We start from the raw sequence: 26,168 nt of genomic DNA, 5'->3' as shown, positions 1-26,168 counted from the left end.
GGCCCTAAAATTAGTTTTCTATATACTTTACACTAATTTAACTCTAAAATCTCCATGATTATCTAAATCTTTTTTTCAGAACTTTCATCAGTGGTTATGTATACTCTCGCTCTGACAAACTTGGTTCATCTGCTGTAATTGGAAAGATTCTGGCAGAGTATATGCATATAGATGAAGGTAGATTTGTTGAAGGAATGCCAAAAAAGTTATTTTATGATTGCAGCTGTTTTCTGAGTGAAATAAAAAGCGAGTTCATCAGTGAGAGTGAGAAAGGGCAAGAGGCTCGAAATTTAAGAAGAGGGAAGAAAGTGTGCAACAGCTGTAGAGGAAACTGAGTAAATAAACACAGGAAATGAAATAGGATTTTTCAGGCATACTGGAAGCCCTCTTGAGATTTGTGATCACTCATTTAAAGTAATGACCCTCAGCATATTGGGTGGTTTTATCCAGTCATGTTCAGTTTCTCAAATTTGGGGACAGAGTAGGCAGGGCATTAGACCAGGGCTATAACGTTGCTGGGCAAGGACAACAGAGGGCAGAGGGACTAGGAGTGGAGTTTTCCTGCAGGAGAATGATGATGATCATGATGATGATGATGGATCATGGCTTCTAAGCTGGGTAAGGAAGGAAATGAGAACATGCAGTTTCCTGCATGGACCTTGGTGTGTCGGAAAGAAAAAAAGAGAGAGAGAGAGAGAGAGGGAACATGAAGGGATTGCTGGACAGTGAAAAGATTGGAGGGTGGATGGACTGGATATTCTGGTGAGGGCAAAGAGTTGCTGGAGTGACAGTAGTTGAGGAAGTCAACTGAAAACATAGAAGGTACCAGAGCAGAGCCATTGAAATCAAGGATTAGATGGTGTTGCAGTTGTTGGTAGTGGGCAGTGTCTATATATGGCCATAAATGAGGTCAAGATGACAAATGTGGCAGGATCCTACAACTGCTTGAGCAAAGGACAATAATGGCATTTTAAGAACATTTGCTTGGTGTTGGCTAACTACCTATTTTAATGAGGAATTTCATTTATAAACTGGTTGTAGATAACTAAAGGGAAAAAAGCAACCCACCTAAGTTAATGTTACTCCAAGGAACAGAAGCCATTTAACAAAATCTCTAAAGATCTATCAACAGATAAATGGATAAATAGAACATTGTACATCCATAAAACAGAGTATATTTTATCAATAAAATGGAATATTGATACATGCTACAACATAGATGAACCTTGAAAACACTATGCTAAGTAAAAGATGCCTGTTATGAAAGACCATATATTGTATAACTCCGTTTATATGCAATGTCCAGAATAGGCAAATCTATAGAGACAATATAGATTGGTGATTTCCTAGGGCTGAGGGAGGGAGGATGGAGAGAAATGTGGAGTGATTGCTAATAGGTATAGGGGTAATGAAAACATTCTAAAATTGTGGTGGTAGTTGCATAACTCTATGACTACACTAGAAACCATTTAATTGTATACTTTCAATAGGTGAACTGTGTGATATGTGAGTTATATCTCAAACCTATTATTTAAAAAAAATCTTTAAATAATCAGTAGCTGAGTAAGACATCTGAGAAAATTGAGATTCAAAGAGAGTCAATGATTTGCTTAAAGTCCACTGCTAGAGCCAGTACTTAAACTGGGTTTGTGAGGTCTGGGACCAAACTCCTAACTTTACAATATGTGTTATATTGACACTGCTGATTTAATGTTTGACTTATTTTCCCTGTCTATTGTCTCTTCCTATATTATGAGTAAGTTATTTCAAGGGTAGTGAGAGGACACCTTTATGAGGTAAAATGACCATCCTCAGCAGAAATATGCTGACAAAAAGTAGAGAGGAGCTGAAAGTGAGGCAAGGAGGGTAATTCTCTAAACTTGGAACTGTCTCTTCTAATGTGTGATTGCAATGAATTATTTTGTGTGTTTGGAGCCCTTGTATTCACTATATTGTATTCTTTCCTTTATTAATCCAACAAAAAAAAGTTTTGGGTATTTGCAATGTGCCAGACAATTTTTTCTATAATTTAAGAGAAATTACCAGTGTCTACCTACTTTTTGCTCTTAAAAATTCCAAGCTTGAACTTATTGGTAACTGTGCTTAACCAGAAATTTGTGCTCTCAAGTTCTGTACATTATGTCCAATTCTCTAAACCTATATGGAATAAATTTTCCCTAAGCTTTTGTTAAAAACAATTTCTAGTAAAGAGAATGTTTGAAATTGTCAGACAGAACTTTTGATTTTTTTTTCACTTTTAAACATTTTTGGTAAGGGTATGTTGGTTATTTTAGTATTTGTGTTGCTTTTTATGGAAATGCTGTGGATTTTAGCATCCATTAGCATTGTTAAATATAGTAAAATCTACTTATACATCTGTACAAAAGAGATTCAGTATATGGAAATATCTATCTGTCCGATCTCTCTCTCTCTCTCTATTCTACCATCTATGATATTTTAAGCTTATAAACTCTTATACCCATTATATAATCAATATAGTGATAAGATCATAAGAACTGATAGTACCTTAGAAATGCTCCAGTCTAGTTTATTCTGTATCATAGTTGGGGAAACTGAGGCTCAGAGATACTCAATTGTGCTATGAAAATCTGCCCTTTGGAGGTCTATCGTCTCCACCTAGCTTTATTTTTCAACATAGTGTTGTAAAGGCATTTGCGACGAGTGCTTCCAGATTTTCTACCAAGAGAATCTTAAGTGAGGAAACTAGATGGAAACAGGGGATTGAAGTTGCCTTTTTTTTTTTCACCTTACAAGATTTTGAGAAAATATCGGTTACGAACATCAAAGAAAACAAGTGAGGCTAAAGACCCCCAAATACCCTTCTTCTAATGGCTCCATTAGAATTTACTTATTTATTTTTTGTATTTATTTTATTTTATTTTATTTTTCTGAAATGGAGTCTTGCTCTGTTGCCCAGGCTGGAGTGCAATGGCACCATCTTGGCTCACTGCAACCTCTGCCTCCCGGATTCAAACAATTCTCCTGCCTCAGCTTTCTGAGTAGCTGGGACTACAAGAGTGTGTCACCACGCCCGGCTAATGTTTTGTATTTTTTTGTAGAGATGGGGTTTCGCCATGTTGGCCAGCCTGATCTCGAACTCCTGATCTCAGGTGTTTTGCCTGCCTCAGCCTCCCAAAGTGCTGGGATTACAGGCGTGAGCCACTGTGCCTGGTTAACCATTAGAATTTATTATTGTTGTTTGTTTATTAAAGGTTTCATTAGTCAATCTTAACACCCAATCTCCAAATTTATTTTGTGTTTTCTCATTACAAAAGCAATATATACACTCATTACAGGAAAATTAGGTAAGGAAAAAGAAAAAACTCTTAGTCCCACACCATTAGAAGCATCCATTTTTAACCTCTTATGTTCACATATTTGTAAGTATACTTTTTTTTTAACAAAAATGGGATTGTTGTAAATTGCTTCTAAATCTTTCTATGCCAATATGTATATTTTTGTGCTTGTTGTTTTTTTTTGTTGATTTGTTTTTATTCAGAAAAATACTTCCAAGACAGCCAAGATCTTCACTGAACAATGAATGAGCTGTATTCTTTTATTCAGCAGATGATGGTCACATACTTGCTATGTGCTATCTGCTATGCCTGGTTCAAGGAAGGTACAATGGTGAACAGGACAGATGTAGTCTTTATATTCTAATAAGGGACACAAGCAATACACAAGTAAACATATCAAATAAATATCGATCAGGTTAAAATATATGAAGTTGATAAAAAGAGAGCTGCAAAAGAGTGTCACAGGGCCAGACTCCATCATACCCACTCTCTACTATTTCATTGAAGAGGGATTAAAAAAAGGTGAATCCACCTGACCAAAGTTGTGTTTGTAATCAATGATTCAACTAATTTATTTTTATTTTTATTATTTTAGATTCAAGGGGTACGTGTGCATGTTCGATACATAGGTATATTTTGTAATGGTGGGGATTGGGCTTCTAGTGTACGTGTCTCCCAAATATTTAACATTATATCCAATTGGTAATCTTTCAACCCTCATCCCATTCCCTCCTTCCCCCAGTTTGGAATCCCCAGTGTCTATTGTTTCCACCTTTCTGTCTGTATGTACCCATTGTTTAGTCTACTCTATATCCATGTGTACCCATGGTACTCCTATTTATAAGTGAAAACATGCAATATTTGATTTTCTGTTTCTGAGCTAGTTCACTTAGGATAATGGCCTCCAGCTTTATCCATGTTGCTGCAAAGGACATATTTCATTCCTTTTTATGGAAAATTGGATTAAAAAAGAAGACCCAACCATCTGCTGCCAATAAGAGATTTACTTACTGGCTAAAGATACCTTCAGATAGGCACCAAATTTACTAAGAATGACTGGGAGAAGCCTCTGAAGAGGTGACACTACACAGACACATGGAGGGTGAGAAGTTTCCAGTTGTGTGATGAGCCTTCCAGGCAAAGGCATTTCATTAAGGCCTTGAGTGGTGGAAAGAGCTTAATGCACCGAAGTTCAATCAGGGAAAAATCATATGGATTGAAAAAATGATCTGAGGTGACATCTCATGCATTAATTTAATGAATGTTGGCAAAATCATTTTGATAATGTCGACCTTGACAATACAAGGTGGATGGCAGACAAGCATCCTCCTACAGCTAAGATGGGACAGAACCAAAGCCATAACTCAGAACTCAGTTCAGGACTTTCTACTACATTAGTTGAATCATTGATTACAAACACAACTTTGGTCAGGTGGATTCACCTTTTTTTAATCCCTCATCAATGAAATAGTAGAGAGTGGGTATGATGGAGTCTGGCCTAGGTTTGAATCTCAGCTCCATACCAGTGTAATCTTGGACAAATTATTTAATCATTTTGCATCTCAGTTCTCATTTATAAGGTGGCCATAATGTTCCTTGCCTTATGGAGCCATTATGAAGATTAGATGTGGACAAGTGCTTAGCACAGTGCCCAGCACATAGCAAACCCTCCAGAACTTCTTAACAAATTCATCAGAGAATGTTGCTTTAGATTAAATCTATTTATAATCTGTTAAATAAATTTTATTTGCATGTTACTCCCAAAGGTATTGAGGTTATAAGAAGAAAGTTAACATTGTTACGTGACTATGCTTGGAGATACAGGGTATTTTAAAATTTCCTAGTATTTTAAAGCCAAACAGTTACAATGTTTTAGAAATTGACTCCCTCATAGCAGCTCACAGAGAGCTCCTGGTCTATGTTTCTGCTTTGCTTAAAAGCATTTCTGTCCTGCTTTTGCACCAGTAACTGTCCTTTCTGAATCTATTCTCTTTTTTTCTAAACAGCATACTTTTGAATTAAGAAAAAAATATTGTAGAGAGTAGAATAATGGTTACCAGAAGCTGGAAAGGGCAGCTGGGGGTGGGTTGGGGGAAGTGGGGATGGTTAGTGCTTACAAAAAAATACTTAGAAAGAGTGAATAAGATCTAGTATTTGTTAGCATAGAAGGGTGACTATAATCAATAATAATTTAATTGTACATTTAAAAATAACTAAAAGTACATAATTGTATTGTTTGTTACAGAAAGGATAAATGCTTGAGATGATAGATACCCCATTTACCCTGATATAATTTTTATGCATTGTTTGCCTGTATCAAAATATCTCATGTACCTCTTAAATATATATACCTACCCTGCACCCACAAAAATTGAAAATTAAAAGGAAAGAAAGAAAAAAAATCTTGCAATACCAACCATATTTGAAAGGGAGGAGTGCTTATCAAGCTTGGTGCAGTGTTCTCTGCGGTCTAGGGCACTCTTGCCTTTGAGGGCCTTGCCCTGTCGGGGACACTGAGAGAAGACATGAAGCAGAAGAGCTGTACGCACAAGTAATGTTGCTACACCCAAGTGTGTGTTGTTACGTTTTGAAAAGCATACACACTTTTCTTTTCCAAAGCTAGGAGACACCTATAGTACATTTATTTGTTGGTTTTTCTTGTCTGTTCTTGAAATATTTTAATCAGAGGCTCAATCTATAATTTTCCCCGTTCTTAAAAAATTAATTTAGTTATAGGAGATATAACTAATCCCAATTCATAGAGAATAACTCTGTCCTGGACTAATAATATGGACAAAGGAGATTTTCCTTTTCTGTTACAGAATACTGTAGTAACTCCTTATAGTTTTCCCCTAATTTATCCAAATCACCTCTGCTTTATTTTGGGATGGAGAAGAGACTAATATTTAAATAACACCTATAGCTTCTGTTGCCCCCAGCCAACACAGAGAGTCATGTAGAAATAGCATCTACTTTCACCTTTCTTTCTTCACACACACACACACACACACACACACACACACACACACACACACGCACACACGCACAGGGAGAACGTGGGATATAAATCAACATTTTGAGAGATGAGTAGAGGAAGAGAGCTTAAAGAAAAAGGGATTGAAATGGAAGTGCAGAGGAGAGACAGTGAGGGCTCAGTATTTATGAGAGTGAAAGAGAGATTGAGAGAGCAAATGGAAATGAGTCATAGCAAAGGAGGAGAAAATACAGAGATGGGAAAACAGCAAAACAGAAAAAAAAAGGGACACAGGGAAAGAAAATTAGACAAGCACTTGATTTTCTTTTGAGTCATTGATAACAGCTTACACCACTCTTTCCTTTTTTGGGAAGTCTCCTGTCTTCTACATAGGTTCTTTATGGTCCTAAAATGCTGCTTATATGGTTAGTCCTCATACATATTTCAATAACTGCTATAATCCTTAACTCTTTAAAGTTCAATCCTGAACAGCCCTGTACAGTGAAAATTATTTTCAAGATGTCTCATTAACACAGTATTATCTTGACCTGGTCCCTTAAAGCTCAAAGTTTCTTGCTCCTTCAGTACAAGATAGAGTTGAATTCAAATTCCTTAACTTGGAATCTAAGGACTTGCCTAATTGATCTCTGCTTATCGCCCACATTATCCTAGCAAAAAAACTCAGCTACTTCAACATAGCCAGACTGCTCTTTCTCCTCCCACTTTGGTGCCTTCCCCTCCTTCCTGGAATCGGCTTCCTTCCCATCTTCCATCTTCTCCTTTGGGGTCTTGACCAAAACTTGCCTCTTCAATGGTCTTCTCTGATCATTTCAGCCCAAGGCAATCTTTTTCTCCGCTGAAATCCTATAACATTTATAGTTTATACAATTAATTTGGCATTTAATCACATATGGCATTGCCTTTTATTTCTAGTTCTAACTGGATTATAGCTTCCTGACAGCAGAGTTGGGTCTTATCATTTGTTTTATAAGGTAGCACCTTGCAAAGTATTCTGGCAGGGGCTGAGACTGTGCCAGCCCCAATTCTTTCATGTGTAAAGTGGAAATAGTAATAGTTCCTCTACTAAGGTGAGATTTAGGTGAGATTATGAATACAAAAGAAATTTACTCAATACCAGAACATAATAATTGGTTCTAAAATGCTAACTTTTAAAATAATAAAAATAAAAAAGGTTAATAATTTAACAATTAATTAACCTTTTATTTACTATATTACTATTATAATCCCTGTTATTTGATAAATTCAGAAAGACAAAAATTTCTTCTTCTTTATGGGGGTATTTCTAGAGCTTAACTTGTTTGTCATTTCCTTGGGTTTCATTGCCTTCTCTAGTTGGTTAGAGGTCATTCAACAGGCTTTGACAAGGTCCATTTTGTATGCTGGAGGTGTCTATACCAAATTACCTGTCAGGCTCCTCTCGTCTATGACAGTTTCTTAGACCTTCCTTGTTTTTGGTGACCTCCATGGTTTTGGGGAGCACAGGTCAGGTATTTTGCAGAATGTTCTTCTTTTGGGATTTTCTGATGTTTTTCTCATGATTAGATTGAGGTTGTGAGTTTGGGGAGGAAACCCATAAAAAGTGCCATTTTCGTCATATACTATTGACATGGCCTATCATTGATATTGACCTGAATCATCTAGCTGAGGCAGTATTTGTCCAGTTTCTTCCACAACCCCTTTCCATATCGTACTCTTTGCAAGGAAGTTACTATGCACAGCTTGCCTCTAAGGTCTAAGGAGTTATGACCTGCCTTTTGAGGGCAGAATCTCTACATAAATTATTTGAAATTTGTCTTAGTCTATTTTCTGCTGTTATAACAGAATACAATAGACTGAATATTTTATAAAGAACAGAGATTTATTTCTTACAGTGCTCGAGACTGGGAAATCCAAGATCAAGAGGCACATCTGGTCAGGGTCTTCTTAATGTGTCATCCCATGGTGAAAGGTAATAAAACAAGAGAGCACGAGGAAGCAGTCCAGACTAACCCTTTTATTAGGAACCCACTCCTGTGATAACTAACCCACTTCCACAATAACTATCTTACTCCCATGTAATGGCACTCATCCATTCATGAAGGCAGAGCCCTCATGACCTAATCACATCTTAAAGGCTCTACCTCTCAACACTGTTGCACTGGGGATTAAGTATCCAACACATAAACTTCGGGATGCATTCAAACCATGGCAGAATTCTTCTGCATGTGAGATTTGTCTCTTTTCCCTCATTTCTTTATTTATATCCATATGGACAAATGAATATTTATTTTATATTTTGGTTTATAATTGAGTACTACTTTATTTGTCTTGTTGCTCAAATTATTCCAGCTTTTGTCATTGGGAGTCCTTTCAGTTGGCTCCTGTGTTCTTGGTATCTCCATCATTATGTGTGTGTGCTTGTCAGGGAGGTGTTTGAGTACTTTCTTACTTTGTGGAGCTACAAAATGTTCTATGCTTATCTTGTATATTCTTGCATTAGTCCTAGAATCAGCCATTTCTCCAGGAGCCCTTTCCTTTAACTGATACCATTGCAGAATGGTATTAGAAACCAAGATTTGGGTTCCAGGGTTATTTTTATTTTATTGCTGAACTGTAAGACTTCTTTATTCAAGACACAAGTCCTTCATCATAGATATGATTTAAAAGTATTTTCTTCCATTCTTTGTGTGGCCTTAAGCACAAAAGTTTCATATTTTGATGAAGTCCAACTATCTATTTTTTTCTTTTGTCACTTGTGCTTTTGGTATCATAGCTAAGAGATCATTGCCTAATTAAAGGTGACAAAGATTTATGTCTATGATTTCTTCTAAGTGTTTTATAGCTTTAGCTTTTACATTTAGGTCTCTGATCCATTTTGTGTTAGTTTTTGCACGATGTGAGGTAATGGTCCAACTTCATTCTTTTGCATATGGATGTCCAGTTGTCCCAGCACCATCTATTGAAAAGACTATTATTTCCCCATTGAATTGTCTTTATAAGCTTGTCAAAAATGTAAGGGTTTATTTCTGGATTTTCAATTCTATTCCATTGATCTATATGTCTATCTTTAAGCCAGCACCTCACTGTCTTGATTACCATGGTTTTGTTGTGGCTTGATTCTTGCAATAATAAAATTAACATGCTGGGTTTTTTTTCTTGAAAGTGAAAGCAAATTTATTAAGAAAGTAAAGGAATAAAAGGATGGCTATTCCATAGGCAGAGCAGCCCTGGAGGGTGCTGGTTGCCCATTTTTATGGTTATTTCTTGATGATATGCTAAAAAAAAAGGGGGTGGGTTATTCATGCCTCCCCTTCTTAGACCATATAGGGTGACTTCCTGATGTTGCCATGGCATTTGTAAACTGTCATGGTGCTGGTGGGAGTGTAGCAGGGAGGATGACCAGAGGTCACTCTCTTGGTTTTGGTGGGTTTTAGCCAGCTTCTTTACTGCAACCTGTTTTATCAGCAAGGTCTTTATGACCTGATAAGCTGTATCTTGTGCTGACCTCCTATCTCATCTGGTGACTTAAAATACCTAACCATCTGGGAATGCAGCCCAGCAGGTCGCAGCCTTATTTTACCCAGCCCCTATTCAAAATGGGGTTGTTCTGGTTCAAACACCTCTGACATTTCCCCCTTCCCTTTTATAAGAGAATCCTTAATCTTAAGGGTTGTAAAGGGATAAAGATCCATATTCTGTAACTTCTTCAGGCTGAACAGGGGCAATGATATTCCTGCCTCTTGTATTCAGGGTAGAGTGGAACTCAGTCAGAAAGCATCAGTGTGGTGAGGGCAATTCGTAACTCTGAGTTCTCATAAAAGGTGATATCTGGAAGATTAGTAAGTGTTCAATTTAAGAAAACATTAAGTAAGCTTATCCTGCATTCCTACACAAAGAGTACAACAACAATATATTCCACAACAGTAAAGGAAAATTATCCCAAATAAACTAAATAGGTAGGCTTTTCATGAACTGGGCAACTGCTGGAACCAAGCTAATATGAGGTTGCTAGCTGATTCCAGTATCTGCCCAGAATTAGAATACTGATCTGAATTTTTACATTACCCATTCCTCTTGTTTTTTCTGAGCTGCAGTTAGAGATCACTGGTTGGTGTGCAGGAATAAGCAGAGTTAGTTAGTCTAAATTATAGACAAAAGCGTAAAACGTAAAAACAACCGATGAGACCAGAATTTAATAACAAGTGTACCATAGTTTTTGAAATATAATTTTTCTATCTCCAGTTTCCCATTTTTACTAATGAGAAATCATGGTAAGACTGATTTGCATTATTATACTTGGCCTGATTATTTGTATAAAGTTCAGCAAGAATGATTATTTTTCACATAAGCTCTTTTTATTTTATTAATTAATTAATTAATTTGAGGCAGAGTCTCACTCTGTCAGCCAGGCTGGAGTGCAGTGGCACAATCTTGGCTCACTGCAACCTCCACCTCCCAGGTTTAAGCAATTCTCCTGCCTCAGCCTCCTGAGTGGCTGAGACTACAGGCATAAGCCACCACACTCAGCTAATTTTTGTATTTTTAGCAGAGAGAGGGTTTTGCCATATTGGCCAGGCTGGTCTCAAACTCCTGACTGCAAGTGATCCACCCACCTCGGCCTCCCAAAGTGCTGGGATTACAGGTGTGAGCCACTGTGCCTGGCCACATAAGCTGTTTTTAAATTGTCTTTGATGGAACTCTGTTCCATAAGGAATCTCAGATAAGATTTTTAAAAAAAATCTGAGCCCAGCCATGGCTTTGTATACTCAAATACCTATGAGTTGGGTAAATTCCTCTCCTCTTGATGTCCCAAGATAACTTAAGCCTCCTGGGTTTGTCACAAAGTGACATTCTTCACTCACCACAGGTCAGGAACCTACACAGGGACTGTGTAGACAAGGTATGAGGCCAGTTTTCCCAAGGGGCTTTTCTTGGCTCTGTAAGTTGAGTTTGATTCCTTAAAGGAAAGCACACCATTCCAGTCAAATCCTTGGTAAAATAACCCGTTTCTCCAATTGTGTCCTGTTACAAATGAAAACAGATTCTTATTGTGCTTATACAAATAACTATATTGCCATAAGTTAAGAAAACAAATAGTTTCCATATTCTGGAGAAATCAAGTAGAGAAAAACATGTATGCTCCAAAGTTTGTTCATAGGCATATACATTACTCAATTGGTAAAAGCTGTCAATAACTCAAAAGAAAAGTTTCCTTGACTCTGAAAAACAAAAACAAAGGATTAGCAATGTTTTAAGCAAAAAGTCAAAAAGATTACTTCAGACTTCTATTAGTTTAGTCCATGCAGTTAACTCCTGTTCTGCTTGATATTCATGAACATTTCAGCTCTCCATGAGTGTCCTGAAAGTTTTTTCCTCTATTCTAATTTAATAATCTCCAAAGTTATCAGAAACCTGCATTTAAGAATGCCTGTTAGAGTTCTATAGTTGATTATAAAACCACCTTCTAAAGAGGATCAAAACAAGATGATTGTCTGTGGATGAAAAAAATGCCTTAGGGCAGCCTCTATTAAAGCCACAATTGACTAGGAATTTTGTTAATTCTGTGGCATACATCAATGTAATGTAACAATTATAACTATTAATAGCATACACTAAGTAATATCAGAATTATAAGAGTTTCCCATAATTTTGGAACACGTACCAATAACACATTTATACGAATAAAGCCCAAAGAAAGCCAAGCACCATTTCATATTTGAGAATGCTTCCTGTATGATTTTTATACCAAATAAGCCAAATTTCATCATTGCATTAGTGCATTATTGATGTTAAACCCAATTCTTAATAAAACCTTATAGACAAATGTATTGTATCTTAATCAGTTTGACCATAAGGTAAGATTCTCATAAACCTTTTGTAACCCTTTACAATTTTTGTAAAAGAGCAGATCAGTAGTCTAAGAAAAACCTGTTGTGCTTTTATTTTAATGTTCAGTTTATGGAAAAATTGAACAATACCTATTTAACTTTAGCCAATATGTTCACACACAGAATCTCTTTTACAAGATTAATTTTTCACAAACACTTAAACTTTTAGCTTTATCCTATTTATGTTATTATTTATTTATTTATTTGAGACAGAGTTTCGCTCTGTCGCCCAGGCTGGAGTGCAGTGGTGTGATCTTGGCTCACTGCAACCTCTGCCTCCTGGGTTCAAGTGATTCTCCTGCCTCAGCCTCCTGAGTAGCTGGGATTACAGGCATGCACCACCACCCTCAGCTAATTTTTATATTTTTAGTAGAGATGAGGTTTTACCATGTTGGTCAGGCTGGTCCTGAACTCCTGACCTCGTGATCTGCCTGCCTCAGCCTCCCAAAGTGCTAGCATTACCGGCATGAGCCACTGTGCCTGGGCCGGCTTTATCCTATTTAAGTTAAAATAATCCTTTAACTCTTTAGGCAAACAAACAAACAAACAAACAAACACAGAAACACATTCCCATGACTTCCTACAATCTTTTACCAAAAACACATTTCACTTTTCTTACATGCCTTGCATGTAGAACTGTTTCTATTTCCCAAAGATTACTTAAGTCACATGAATTAAAGGCATTGCAGTTTTTACTTTTCTGAGAAAATATTTGATTTAAGCACTTATTTTTATTTTTTTATTTTTTTGAGACAGAGTCTCGCTCTGTTGCCTAGGCTGGAGTGCAGTGGTGGGATCTTGGCTCACTGCAAGCTCCACCTCCTGGGTTCACGCCATTCTCCTGCCTCAGCCTCCTGAGTAGCTGGGACTACAGGCGCCCGCAACCACGCCCGGCTAATTTTTTGTATTTTTAGTAGAGACGGGGTTTCATCATGTTAGCCAGGATGGTCTTGATCTCCTGACCTCGTGATCCACCTGTCTCAGCCTCCCAAAGTGCTGGGATTACAGGTGTGAGCCACCGTGCCTGGCCAGCACTTATTATTTTTAAACCAATTAAAGCTTTTTCATATATAAACATCACACACAACACATATAAATACACAGACAGAAGAAGATCTAGTACTTGTAAAATTTTTCATTTCCCAGTTTCTTAATTGAATTACTGGCTTCAGGGTGGAGCCCTTGGAGGAACAGGTCCAGGAAGGTATGCACTTTTTACCCCTGAATAAGTAGGCTCAGCTGGAAGGTAAAAACAGGTCCCCAAAATTAAGGGTCCTATTTTTATACCAGATCCTGGATCCCCAAAAGAGGGGATCAGCCCATCCCCATAGGAGTCTTAACTTTCAGTGGGGGGTGGGGACTTCGCCATACTTTCTAGGTAGCCAAGAGCATGCTTCTCTGATCTAAATGCGCAAAAAGCCGAGTATCCCCCCATAACTGCCATTAGCCATCCATAAAACTATATTTCCTACCTTGTTATGACACACCAATGCTCTCTCATAATGCGAAGTACTTTCTGAAACCCCTAAAAGTTAAAAACATCAGATAATGCAATACAAAACAGAAAAGAGCCTTAGATTTTGAGAGCGATCTATCCACTTTCAGTTCCTGGGGTTTCATGAGGAAAACAGATTTTTCCCAAAGCAGAGTCTGTAGCACCTCCTCTGTTTTTCCCAAGGAGTTCTAGGCTATTAAAGCTTGAAATATCCACTTTTAATTAAGCTGACTTTTAACCACAGTGCTCTTTAAAAAAAAAGTCCTTTTAATTTTTATTACCCAACTTTAACCAGGCCAAAAGGTCAATATTTCTGTGCTCAGAGAAAGGAAAATTTAAGAAGGGAAGCCAGGAGTTATTCATGGAAGCACCAAGAATTAACAAGTGGCCAAAGTTACACAGATATCAAACCAGAAAAAGACTTATTCCCTAAGCCAGGAATTGAATCTGAACCGCAATTGTAAAATGGCAAAACCTTAGCTACTGTGCTACAACATTAGACAGTTTCTATTACTCTTCCAAGAAGGAGTCTAGAGCAGCTTATTTTGAACTTGCAAAGGCTTTTAGCTGCTCAAGATAATTTTTAGGGCAAACTATGACATGAGCCTCCTCCAAGGCAGAGACCAAGAGAAAGTACTGCCACACGGTTATAAGGTCAAGCTCCCAAGAACATTTTTCAACACGTGGTTTCTGGGCAGGATGAAAGAGTGGACAGTTCCCCTGAGTAACAGAAAAGTTAGAAAAGAGAAAGGAGAGGAAGAGAGAGAAAAGGATGGCCTGCAGCAGGGTGGGGAAGGTGAAATGCTCAGGGAGGCCAGAGAAAGACCCACCCGTTACAGCGTTGCTGAATCAAAAGTTCAGGCGGCTGCTTGTCAGTCTCGAAGGGACCTGTTCCAGCAGTCCCATCAGCTCTTAAGTATTCCCCTTTAGGGAGGAAAAAGCTCCCCATGTCCCATGATCCTGTACATGCCTAATCCTGTCACCCACAGCCATCAGCAAAGAGTGAGAAGCAGATTAATCCAAAGAGAATAGCAGTTAACACCCTGTAGTGCCAAACCCATTCTTAGCTGAGAGGGTCTTTACTGAGAGGGGTCTCCAACCCCCTAAATCTTAGGAAGGACTCTAACCTTCCTAAGTTGGGACTCAAATCTGGGTTAGGTCAAGCATCCTTGCCTTTTATTAAGAGGGGCCTTTACCCTCTCTGTCTTAGGAGAGACTCATTCTCCTAAGTTGGGCCTCTAGCCCAATCCCATCCTTTACCTGGGTAAATACACCTCACTTACCCAAAGTTGGCCAGTCGGTGCTGCAATTTATTTCCTTTGGATCGGGGGTCTCCTCAGTATAGTTCCTTTGTGGTTAGCCAAAAAGATGTTACTGAAAAGGGGTCCCGATCCAGACCCCAAGGGAGGGTTACTGGATCTCGTGCAAGAAAGAATTCGAAACGAATCCATAGAATAAAGTGAAGACAAGTTTATTAAGAAAGTAAAGGAATAAAAGTATGGCTACTCACTCCACAGGCAGAGCAGCCTTAACATGCTGTTTTTATTAAGTCTTTTTGGTGATCTGCAAGAGTTGTCCAGGTGACTTCACCCGACTCCGTCCAGATTTTTATTTTGCTCTAAATGTACACTGGAACCTTTATTCTCTCACCACAATAGGAAGGTAGGAGGTATATAGGGGCTGTGAAATTATTTTAGGGCATGGCAACATGGTGTGACATTGGCCAGATGTGTAAACTGAGTAGCTCTGGATAGATACAAAGTCAACCAGCAGGATAAAGGGAGGTGCTTTGGGTAAGACATAAAATCCCTGCTTGGTATGTTGTTTCTGAGAAGCTCTTAGAGCTGCATCCTCCAGAAGCATAGCCCAAGGGGCCCCCAGGAAAGGTCACTCTTTCAGCCACTCTGACTCCCATGTCACTCCTCCTTGGCTCTCTGCTACCAAGACTTGGCTCTGAGATCTTCTGTAGGTGTAAAGTGGCCACATGCTTTTGGTGTCCATAGAAACAAATTCATTTTAAAGGGATGCTTCACAGAAACTTTCTAGACAAATGCTTATGCCATGGTTGTATATCTGAAAACAAATAGTCTTTTAGATGTGTTGATCATTACCTCCTTGGCATAGATTTCCACTGACATTAGTCAATTAAGAATTGTACATTAAATGGTAATTTTGAACTAAATTTTGGAGGCTGAGTGTGGACTAGTGTGAGAGTGAGAAATTCCCGAGGGCTGCAGTCTTGAGGGAGTCGTTGCATTTTTGTGGTCTTTAACTCCAGGAGCCCTACCCAGTTTTCACGGTAAAGATCTGAATGTAAATGGTCCAAATACACCAATAAAAGACAGAGATTGTCAGCACAGATTAAAAATAATACCTAACTATATGTTGCCTGCAAAGACCCATTTTTTATATAAAGACTCAGATACATTATAAGTAAAGGATAGAGAAAGATATTCTATGCTAACATTAATCAAAAGAGTATATTAATTTCAGACAAAGCCACTTCTGAAGAGAAAGATTATCAGGAATAAATTGGAGCATTACATAATGATAAAGGGGCTCATTCTCCAAGAAAAGATAACAACCCTAAACACATATGCACCTAACAAAATACATAAGTCAAAAACTGATGGAACTGAAGGGAGCAATGGGCAAATCCATTATTATGTTGGAGAGTTCAACATCCCTCTGTCAGTAATTGACAGATCAGCAGGCAGTAATCAGTAAGGATATAGATAATGTAACTAGCACCATCAACCAACCGGATCTTGGATCTCTAGTCAATAACAGCAGAATACACATTTCTCTCAAACTTATGTGGACTATTTACCAAGATAGACCACATTCTAGGTCATTAAACACACTTTGACAAATGTAACAGTACAGAAATCATACATATGATGTTCTCCAACCACAATGGAATTAAACTAGAAGTCAATAACAGAAAGATATCTGGAAAATCCTCAGAAAATTGGAAATTAAAAAATATACTTCCAAATAGTCAAAGACATCTCAAAGAACTCTGAAAATATTTTGAATCCCACTTTTAAAAAGTCACAGAGGACAAGACTGAAAAAACTGATCACAAAAACAGTGAAAGGTTTGATTGTCAAAACACATCACAAAGAAACTGAAAAGAAACAACAAGCTGGGAAAAATATTTACAGTAAATATGACAAGTATAAATAAAACATACAGACTTTTTAAAACCACTTAGACCTCAATAGATAAATGGCATAAACTGACAATTCACAAAAGAGCAAGCTCGAGAATTTAATAAGCATAAGAAGACATTTGTCTTTACCAGTAATAATAGAGGTGCAAAATTTTACCTATTAAAATATTAACTGTTTTTTTTAAATGATACTATTCCAGTGAGCTGTACATTTAAGATTAGTACATTTTAATAAAACCCATTTTTAAAAATTCTGTGCAGTGTTGGTAAAGGTTTGGTAGGAAAGATACTGCTAGAGATAATTTAAATTGTGCAACCTCTGTAGAAAGCAATATGGACAGTTTTCAAGAGCATTAATCATATTCATATACTTTAACTCAGGATTTCAACTTCTAAAATATGACACAATTTTACACACAGACATCCTTTATATAACTGAAAACTTAGAGCCAGAAAAAAATCCACAATAAATTAATGCTTACATATGTTAAATCTGTTTTGACGATAAATTAAGAAACTATAAAATATTGATCTACCAAGTTCTTCAATGATAGAATATGTTTTGACTATAAATAATATGCAAAGTTATAAATATAGTATAAATGCAATTCTATATTAAAATTCATAGAAAAAGAAAACAAGGAATTATGGCAAAAAGTTAATTATTGCTATAATATTATCCCCTAGATATTGGAGACATGGACCACTTTCTGGGGGTCATTGCTTTTTCTTTTGGGGGGTTCCTTTCCTTGTTGTTGTTTTTTTTTTTTTTTGAGAAAAAGTCTCACTCTGTCACCCAGGCTGGAGTGCAGTGATATGATCTCCATTCACTGCAACCTCCTCCTCCTGGGTTCAAGGGATCCTCCCACCTCAGCCTCCCGAGTAACTGGGACTACAGGTGTGCACCACCACACCCAGCTAACTTTTGTATTTTTAGTACAGACAGGGTTTTGCCATGTTGGCCAGGCTGGTCTTGAACTCGTGACCTCAGGTGATCAGCCCACCTTGGCCTCCCAAAGTGCTGGGATTACAGGCGTGAACCACCACACCTGGCCTTGCTTTCCATATTTTTAAAGTGAATATTTCTTACTTTAATAATTAGAAAACCACCGAGTGCAGTGGCTCATGTCTGTAATGCCAGCACTTTGGGAAGCTGAGGCAGGCAGATCACCTGAGGTCAGGAGTTCGAGACCAGCCTGACTAACATGGAGAAACACTGTCTTTACTAAAAACACAAAATTAGCCAGGCATGGTGACACGTGCCTGTAATCCCAGCTACTCAGGAGGCTGAGGCAGGAGAATTGCTTGAACCCAGGAGGTGGAGGTTGCAGTGAGCCGAGATCATACCATTGCACTCCAGCCTGGGCAACAAGAGGGAAACTCTGTCTCAAATAATAATAATAATAATAATAATAATAATAATAATAATAATAATAATGATAATAATAATAATAATAAGAAAACCTATAAGTAAATAAGCAAAAAACAAGCTCCAAGTTTCCAGAGCCCTGTGTTTCCTGTTCCCCTCCTGTTAGTTTCTTAACCGTCTTCTAAAGTACAACTCAAAGGCCACCTCCTCTGTGCAGGTCCCCAGGCCCTCAGACAGTGTTAGTTGCTCCCTCCTTTGTGTTTTGTCAACTCTTGGCATGTGGCTCTCCCACTTCATGTATCCCAATGACTTGTTTATTTTTCTGTCCCACTAGAGTAAGGAGCAGGGGCCATGTTTTGTCATCTTTGTATCCCTGGTACCCAGGACAGCATCTGATACAAAACTGTGTATAATGCCTGATTATCATGGTTATTTTTGGTTCAGTTCACTGTCCCCCTGATTCCCTGCTTGAGATACATACCTTTTCACAGCTGATATTCCTGGGAAACCAGAGAAGTAGGAAGCCATGAGAGCAGATATTTCTCAGCCCCATCGAGAAGCCAGGTCCAACAATGAGAGCGTTATGTCCCTGGGACAAGAAATAGTGTCATCTCCTGAAACAGAATGAGTTGTTTGTGTTTCTGCCACCTCTGAACTCTCATCTTTCTCTTCTATAGTGAGTGGATTAGATGGTTCTACATCAACTCAGGTGAAAACTTAGGCGAAAAGATCCTCATACCTTCCTCAAAATCTGGTCCTGAGAGAAGCATTTCTTGATACAGGTCTGTAAGAGCAGATGGGCCTGGATTTCTTGCTCTATAAACAACTAGAACGAAACTTGCCCATGGGTCTTTATCCTAATGAGGTAGTTACAAAATGCATTAGTTGTTGTAGCATAATGGGCCCTGAACTTTGATGATGCTTAAAGCTGCTTTTCCTTCTGGAAAAAAAAAATCAGGTTAAAAAACCATGAGATAAAAATATAAACATCACTAAATGACACATCAGAATGAATGAGCTTGAATTCAAATAAATAGATGGGCTCTTATTCTACCCATCTATCCAGCCCAGTGACAGTGGTTTCTTTTTCTCTCTGCTGCAGCTGAATTGCTAGATCAAGAGATGCCCCTGTGGCATCCTACTATTGGGAAATCAATTTTATAAAGCTATATAAAGCTCTTTTGAGCTGTGAATGAAAGGAGAGTATAATCCTTAATTGTTAATTAATTAACAATTATTAACAAGGACATCTACCTCCTCAGCAATATTAAGTATTATGTGGCTGGGTCCCATGGCTTATGCCTATAATCTCACCTCTTTGGGAGGTCGAGGCAGGGTTGCTTGAGGCTGGGAATTCAAGACCAGCTTGGGCATCAGAGCAAGACTCCATCTCTACAAAAATAAAAAAAAATTAGCTGCGTATGGTGGTGCATGCCTGTAGTTCCAGCTACTCAGGAGGCTGAGGCAGGAGGATGACTTGAACCCAAGAATTCCACGTTGCAGTGAGCTATGATTGTGCCACTGCACTCCACCCAGTGGGACAGTGAACTGAATCAAAAGTAACCATGATAGAGTGAGACCCTGTCTCAAAAAAAACAAAACAAAAAAAAAACAAGAATTATGTTGTTAACCTTCTTTTTGAAGATGCAGACACTTTTTAAATTTTTATTTCATTATTATTTTTTATTGCTGTCACCTATTTGTCCCAGATTAAAAATAATTTTTTTTTCTTTTTTTTTTCTTTGTTTTGAGATGGAGTTTCCCTCTTGCTGCTCAGGCTGGAGTGCAATGGTGCGATCTCAGCTCACCACAATCTCTGCCTCCCAGGTTCAAGCAATTCTCTTGCCTCAGCCTCCTGAGTAGCTGGGATTACAGGCGACTGCCACCATGCCCAGCTAATTTTTTTTTTTTTTTTTTGAGACTCGCTCTGTCACCCAGGCTAGAGTGCAGTGCCATGATCTTGGCTCACTGAAAGCTCCGCCTCTTGGGTTCATGCCATTCTCCTGCCTCAGCCTCCAGAGTAGCTGGGACTACAGGCGCCCGCCACCACGCCCAGCTAATTTTTTTTTTTTTTTTTTTTGTATTTTTAGTAGAGACGGGGTTTCACTGTGTTGGCCAGGCTGGTCCTGAACTCCTAACCCTAGGTAATGCACCTGCCTCAGCCTCCCAAAGTGCTGGGATTACAGGCGTGAGCCACCGCACTCAGCAAAAATAACATTTTTTAAGTCAGGTGCACACCACTGTAACAGTATTAGATATGAGGTTTTCCTTGAACCTTCAAGCATGGTGACTTAGTCCATTCAGGGTGCTATAATAAAATACCATAAACTGGGCAGCTTATAAACAACAGACATGTATTAATCACAGTTCTGGAGGCTGACAAGTCCAAGACCACGGTGCTGGCAGACTTGGTGTCTGGTAAGGGCCCTGTTCCTTATAGACAGTATCTTCTTGCTGAATCCTTACATGGTGGAAGGGGTGAAGGAGCACCTTTGGGCCTATTTATTCCTTCATGAGGACTCTGGCCTCATGACCTAATCATCTCCCAAAAGTTCCTACCTCCTATTATTATGGTTAGAATTTCAACATATGAATGGGGTTCACTTGGGGTTAGAATTTCAACATGTGAATTGGGAGGGATGCAAATATTCAGAACATAGTGCATAGTGGTATGGGAAATGTTAAATATCATCAATGTTGATTTGATTAATTGGTAATGGAGAGTAAGCCAGATAAGGCAACATCTATTTTTGGTAAGCCACCATCACATTGTCATCACTTCCAATCCAACAAAACAGGGTTCATTATAATTTTCTTGCTTCCTGTATTTGTTTTTTGTTTATTTTTCTTTTCTTTTTATTTTTTTATTATACTTTAAGTTCTAGGGTACATGTGCACAACATGCAGGTTTGTTACATATGTATACGTGTGCCATGTTGGTGTGCTGCACCCATTAACTCGTCATTTACATTAGGTATATCTCCTAATGCTATCCCTCCCCCCTCCCCACACCCCTCAACAGGCCCTGGTGTGTGATGTTCCCCTTCCTGTGTCCAAGTTTTCTCATTGTTCAATTCCCACCTATGAGTGAGAACATGCGGTGTTTGGTTTTTTGTTCTTGCAATAGTTTGCTGAGAATGATGGTTTCCAGCTTCATCCATGTCCCTACAAAGGACATGAACTCATCATTTTTTATGGCTGCACAGTATTCCGTGGTGTGTATGTGCCACATTTTCTTAATCCAGTCTATCATTGTTGGACATTTGGGTTGGTTCCAAGTCTTTGCTATTGTGAATAGTGCCACAATAAACACACGTGTGCATGTGTCTTTATAGCAGCACGATTTATAATCCTTTGGGTATATACCCAGTAGTGAGATGGCTGGGTCAAATGGTATTTCTGGTTCTAGATCCCTGAGGAATCACCACACTGTCTTCCACAATGGTTGAACTAGTTTACAGTCCCACCAACAGTGTAGAAGTTTTCCTATTTCTCCACATCCTCTCCAGCACCTGTTGTTTCCTGACTTTTTAATGATCACCATTCTAACTGGTGTGAGGTGGTATCTCATTGTGGTTTTGATTTACATTTCTCTGATGGCCAGTGATGATGAGCATTTTTTCATGTGTCTGTTGGCTGCATAAATGTCTTCTTTTGAGAAGTGTCTGTTCATATCCTTCACCCACTTGTTGATGGGTTTGCTTGTTTTTTTCTTGTAAATTTGTTTGAGTTCATTGTAGATTCTGGATATTAGCCCTTTGTGAGATGAGTAGATTGCAAAAATTTTCTCCCATTCTGTAGGTTGCCTGTTCATTCTGATGGTAGTTTCTTTTGCTGTGCTGAAGTTCTTTAGTTTAATTAGATCCCATTTGTCAAATTTGGCTTTTGCTGTCATTGCTTTTGGTGTTGTAGACATGAAGTCCTTGCCCATGCCTATGTCCTGAACGGTATTGCCTAGGTTTTCTTCTAGGGTTTTTATGGTTTTAGGTCTAACATGTAAGTCTTTAATCCATCTTGAATTAATTTTTGTGTAAGGTGTAAGGAAGGGATCCAGTTTCAGCTTTCTACATATGGCTTGCCAGTTTTCCCAGCACCATTTGTTAAATAAGGAATCCTTTCCCCATTTCTTGTTTTTTGTCAGGTTTGTCAAAGATCAGCACCTTTCTCTGATAGTGAGAAACTTGGCTCCCATGACACATAGTCTGTATTTATGTGATCAAGTCTCCTCACCCTGCTCAGGCTCTGGCCACCTGCCTGAGCCACCACAGATCCTCTTCTACCCCTTTCCCAAACACCTACCTTCCTTGGCCTCTCTAATGGCTTTGAACTAAATTGTTCAGAAAGAAAAGGGAAGAGGAAGCAAAAGTGGAAAATAAAAATTCTTTTTATTTTTATTTTTCCAGATGGTGTTTCACTGTTGTCGCCCAGTCTGGAGTGCAATGGCACAATCTTGGCTCACTGCATCCTCCACCTCCTGGGTTCAAGCAATTCTCCTGCCTCAGCCTCCTGGATAGCTGGAATTACAGGCATGTGCCACCATGCCTGGCTAATTTTTGTATTTTTAGTAGTGACGGGGTTTCACCATGTTGGCCAGGCTAGTCTCAAACTCCTGACCTCAGGTGATCCACCTGCCTTGGCCTCCCAAAGTGCTGGGATTACAGGCATGAGCCACCACGCCTGGCCACAAAATAAAAATTCTATTTAGCCAGTTTTTATTGAATGTGTACCACAGGCAAAGAATTATATGAGATGCTGTTTTGAGTAGAAAGGAAAATAAGATGCACTGGAGATTACAGAGTGTAGAAGACATCTGACCAGGTTCTACTGCAGTAACAAATGACTCCCAAATCTCAGAGGCTGAAGACCACTGAGGTTTATTTCTCACTCACATTTGTGTCCTTCATGTCTCTGCTCTATGTTGTTTTTGTTCCAGGAGCCAGGCTAAGGGAATACACTTTTTCTGGGATATGCTAGTCTTGGGGATGGTCTTGCAGTAGAGGAAAGAATGTGATGATGGAACCACATGATGGGTCTCAAAGCTTCTGATTGGAAGCTGCTTGTATCGCTTCTGCTCAATTTTACTGAGCAGAGAAAATTTCAAGACCGAACTGGGACACCATTGAAGCAAAGAAGTCTTCTTCTACAGAGAGAGGAAGCAAAATTTTGGTAACAATAATGCCATAAATGACATAGATCTGTGGAGGAAACAGACATATATACACTTAACTAGCAGACACTGTATGATAGAGGAAAATACATACTCCACTAATCCCACCTTGCAGTAAGATGAGTGGGGAAAATACGATAAATTGAAGGTATGACTCAGGCTCGCAAGACATTTTGTGGTCTTGAAGAGAGAGATCTCAGGCAAAAGTGAGAAACAGATAAAAGTGACAATAAGAACTCTTACTTGGGTAGGACAGAGGAAATAAGGAAAGCAGTATGTTTCCATGACCTAGAGAAGAAACATAATATATAATATTCCTGAGGAGGTGGATGTTCAGGCTAATGATTAGGGTTTGCACTCTCACTTCACCCACAGCTCAGAAGGGCTTTATAGAATTTTATCAGATTTATTTCCCCACAGTGAACTCCCACAGGGGCATTTCTTGGAATAACAATTCATTTGTAACAGGGAAAAAAAGAACCCACTATCACTGGGCTGGATCTAGGGATAGAATAAAAATCATATTTTGGATGTTTCCCAGTCTGAGAATTGAAAAATGGTATCTCTGTGTAGTTTTAATACACATTTCACTTGTTATGAGTGAGAATGAGCTGGTCTTATGTTTCCATTTAAGTGAGCTGTCTTTGTTCATATTCTATGCCTATTTATCTGTTGGGGTTTCCGTCTTTTTTCTAATTGATGTCCAGAAAGATTGAGAAAGATTTTGTCAGTCAGGGCAGAGATAAGAAATTCTGCCAGAACTGTGCTAGGTGCTGGGAGCGAATGAGACACTGTCGTTAGGCTGGGTATCTCGCGGTCTGTAGGGAAAACCTCCAGATCACACCAGAAAAGACACATCTGTGTTGAGTCTTGAAGTAGCCACCAGTTCACCTGTTGGGGCCCAGGGTTCCTGGTGGGCCCAGGCAGGGGCAAAGTCCCGTCCCGGGCAAAGAGAAGTTCTTAGTGCCTCAAGTAGGTCTCCCTAAAAGCAGACCTTGAGATGGGGATTCTCTTAGAAGTGTTTTTTTTTCTGATTATTCACAGGAGAAATGAATGAGAGAATCAGGATAGGTCATAGGAAAAAGGCAAAGCAAAAATGTTGTCTCCCTGGAAGACCAGCTTCAGCCTGTTCCCATGGGGAGGTTCTGAGGCATGAATTGCACCACAGAGTTGGTCGCTCCCTTGAGAGAAGGGAGACTTCCCTTCACGCCCCTTCATGTCACTAAGTCATTGGCTGAGGTCAGGGGATGAGTGTAGAGGGCAGAGCTCCCAGATCAAGACTGTTCCCACTTGGCCAAGGGCAGGTGTCTGGAGAAGGGGGCAGCTGTGAATTGTTAGCAGCCACTGCTCACAGCAGCTGAGGACAGGAGCACCTGCTTTTAAAGGGAATCTAGATGGGGCACCAACAACTTTCATTACATTTAGTAGGATCTGGAGCTCCCCCAAGAATGCTGCAGCATCTGCCAATGTACAAGTCCAACCGTGTAATTGAATGTCCCCTAAAAATGTCCCCAAATAGCAATTGAAAAGGCTTTTATCAGAAGCTAATGGATATAGCCCAGAAACACCATTATGAAACTCATGACTCAGAGTTTGACTTGTAGTTCCATTGTCTAGGATCATCATTTGTTATCTCGAGTAAGATACTCTGCTGGGACCCAAGTGTTAGTTTATGAATATTTTGATTATGCTGGAGCCCCAGCTGCAAAATGCCAGAAGCTTGACTCTTCAAATATATCACTAAGTTACAGGCAGTAATGGCTTCAATGATGGTGACAGAGTTTAGCTCAAGCAAATATTTATAATTGACAAAGAATGTGTGAGGAGGATGCTAATGAATGGATGTGCTGATTATTTTCTCCTGCCAAAAACATTAGCTTTTGTTTGGTTTAACTGTCAAGCTGACACCATAGATTAGAAATGACAGAATGCTGGCAAAGATCCACAGAGAGGAGGAATATTAAGAAAATTTGCAAATTGTGTAACTTTCAATACTTCTATTTCCAAATATAATTGTTTATGGGTGTTAGCAGAGGTTATGGCTCAGTTATAGGCCAAAATGAAGCATATTGAGATTTACAAGTACATTTGAATTTCTGAAATCTTCCATTTTAGAACAGAAATACAAGCCTGATGACATCTTCTTGGATTCAGGTGGATATCTTTAACTAAATGGTGAACCTGAAGATTAGATGTACACATGAGACAAACATTTTGTTCTTTCCAGATGTTATTTTCTGCTATAAACACTAGCATTTAAAAAAAATTCTCAGCTGGGCACGGTGGCTCACGCCTGTAATCCCAGCACTTTGGGAGGGCGAGGTGGGTGGATTACTTGAGGTCAGGAGTTCGAGACCAGCTCTGCCAACATGGTGAAACCCCATCTCCACTAAAAACACAAAAATTAGCCCGGTGTGGTGGCGGGCACCTGTAATCCCAGCTACTTGGGAGGCTGAGGCAGGTGAATTGCTCGAACCCAGGGGGCGGAAGTTGCAGTGAGCCGAGATTGCACCACTGCACTCTAGCCTGGGCGATGGAGTGAGACTCGATCTCAAAAAAAAAATCTCTTTGGCCTCTTGAACCTGGTAAACATTAGCATTTAGTTTTTATGATAACATATGCTAATTCTATATATATATATATATTTTATATATAATACATACATATGCTTGCATATATTTGTTTGGCCCATCGATATCATTGTTCCTTGTTTTCATGTGCTGTTGGCTTGTGGTGTCATAATCCATGAAGATGACCATTCTTTCTAGCAGGGTTGTGCTGGT

The 26,168-nt window shown here is 38.9% G+C and overlaps 1 long non-coding RNA gene across 1 annotated transcript in view; it reads left to right on the top strand.

Moving 5' to 3' along the window:
- LOC105377343 (uncharacterized) overlaps positions 1-26,168 on the top strand; it is a 78,644-nt gene that overhangs the window by 34,400 nt on the left and 18,076 nt on the right. The window lies entirely within an intron of this gene.

This window comes from Homo sapiens, chromosome 4 (genome assembly GCF_000001405.40).
Source record: "Homo sapiens chromosome 4, GRCh38.p14 Primary Assembly".
Taxonomy (NCBI): domain Eukaryota; kingdom Metazoa; phylum Chordata; class Mammalia; order Primates; family Hominidae; genus Homo; species Homo sapiens.
Note: the sequence above shows the minus strand (reverse complement) of the source record. Positions and strands in the feature narration are given on the sequence as shown.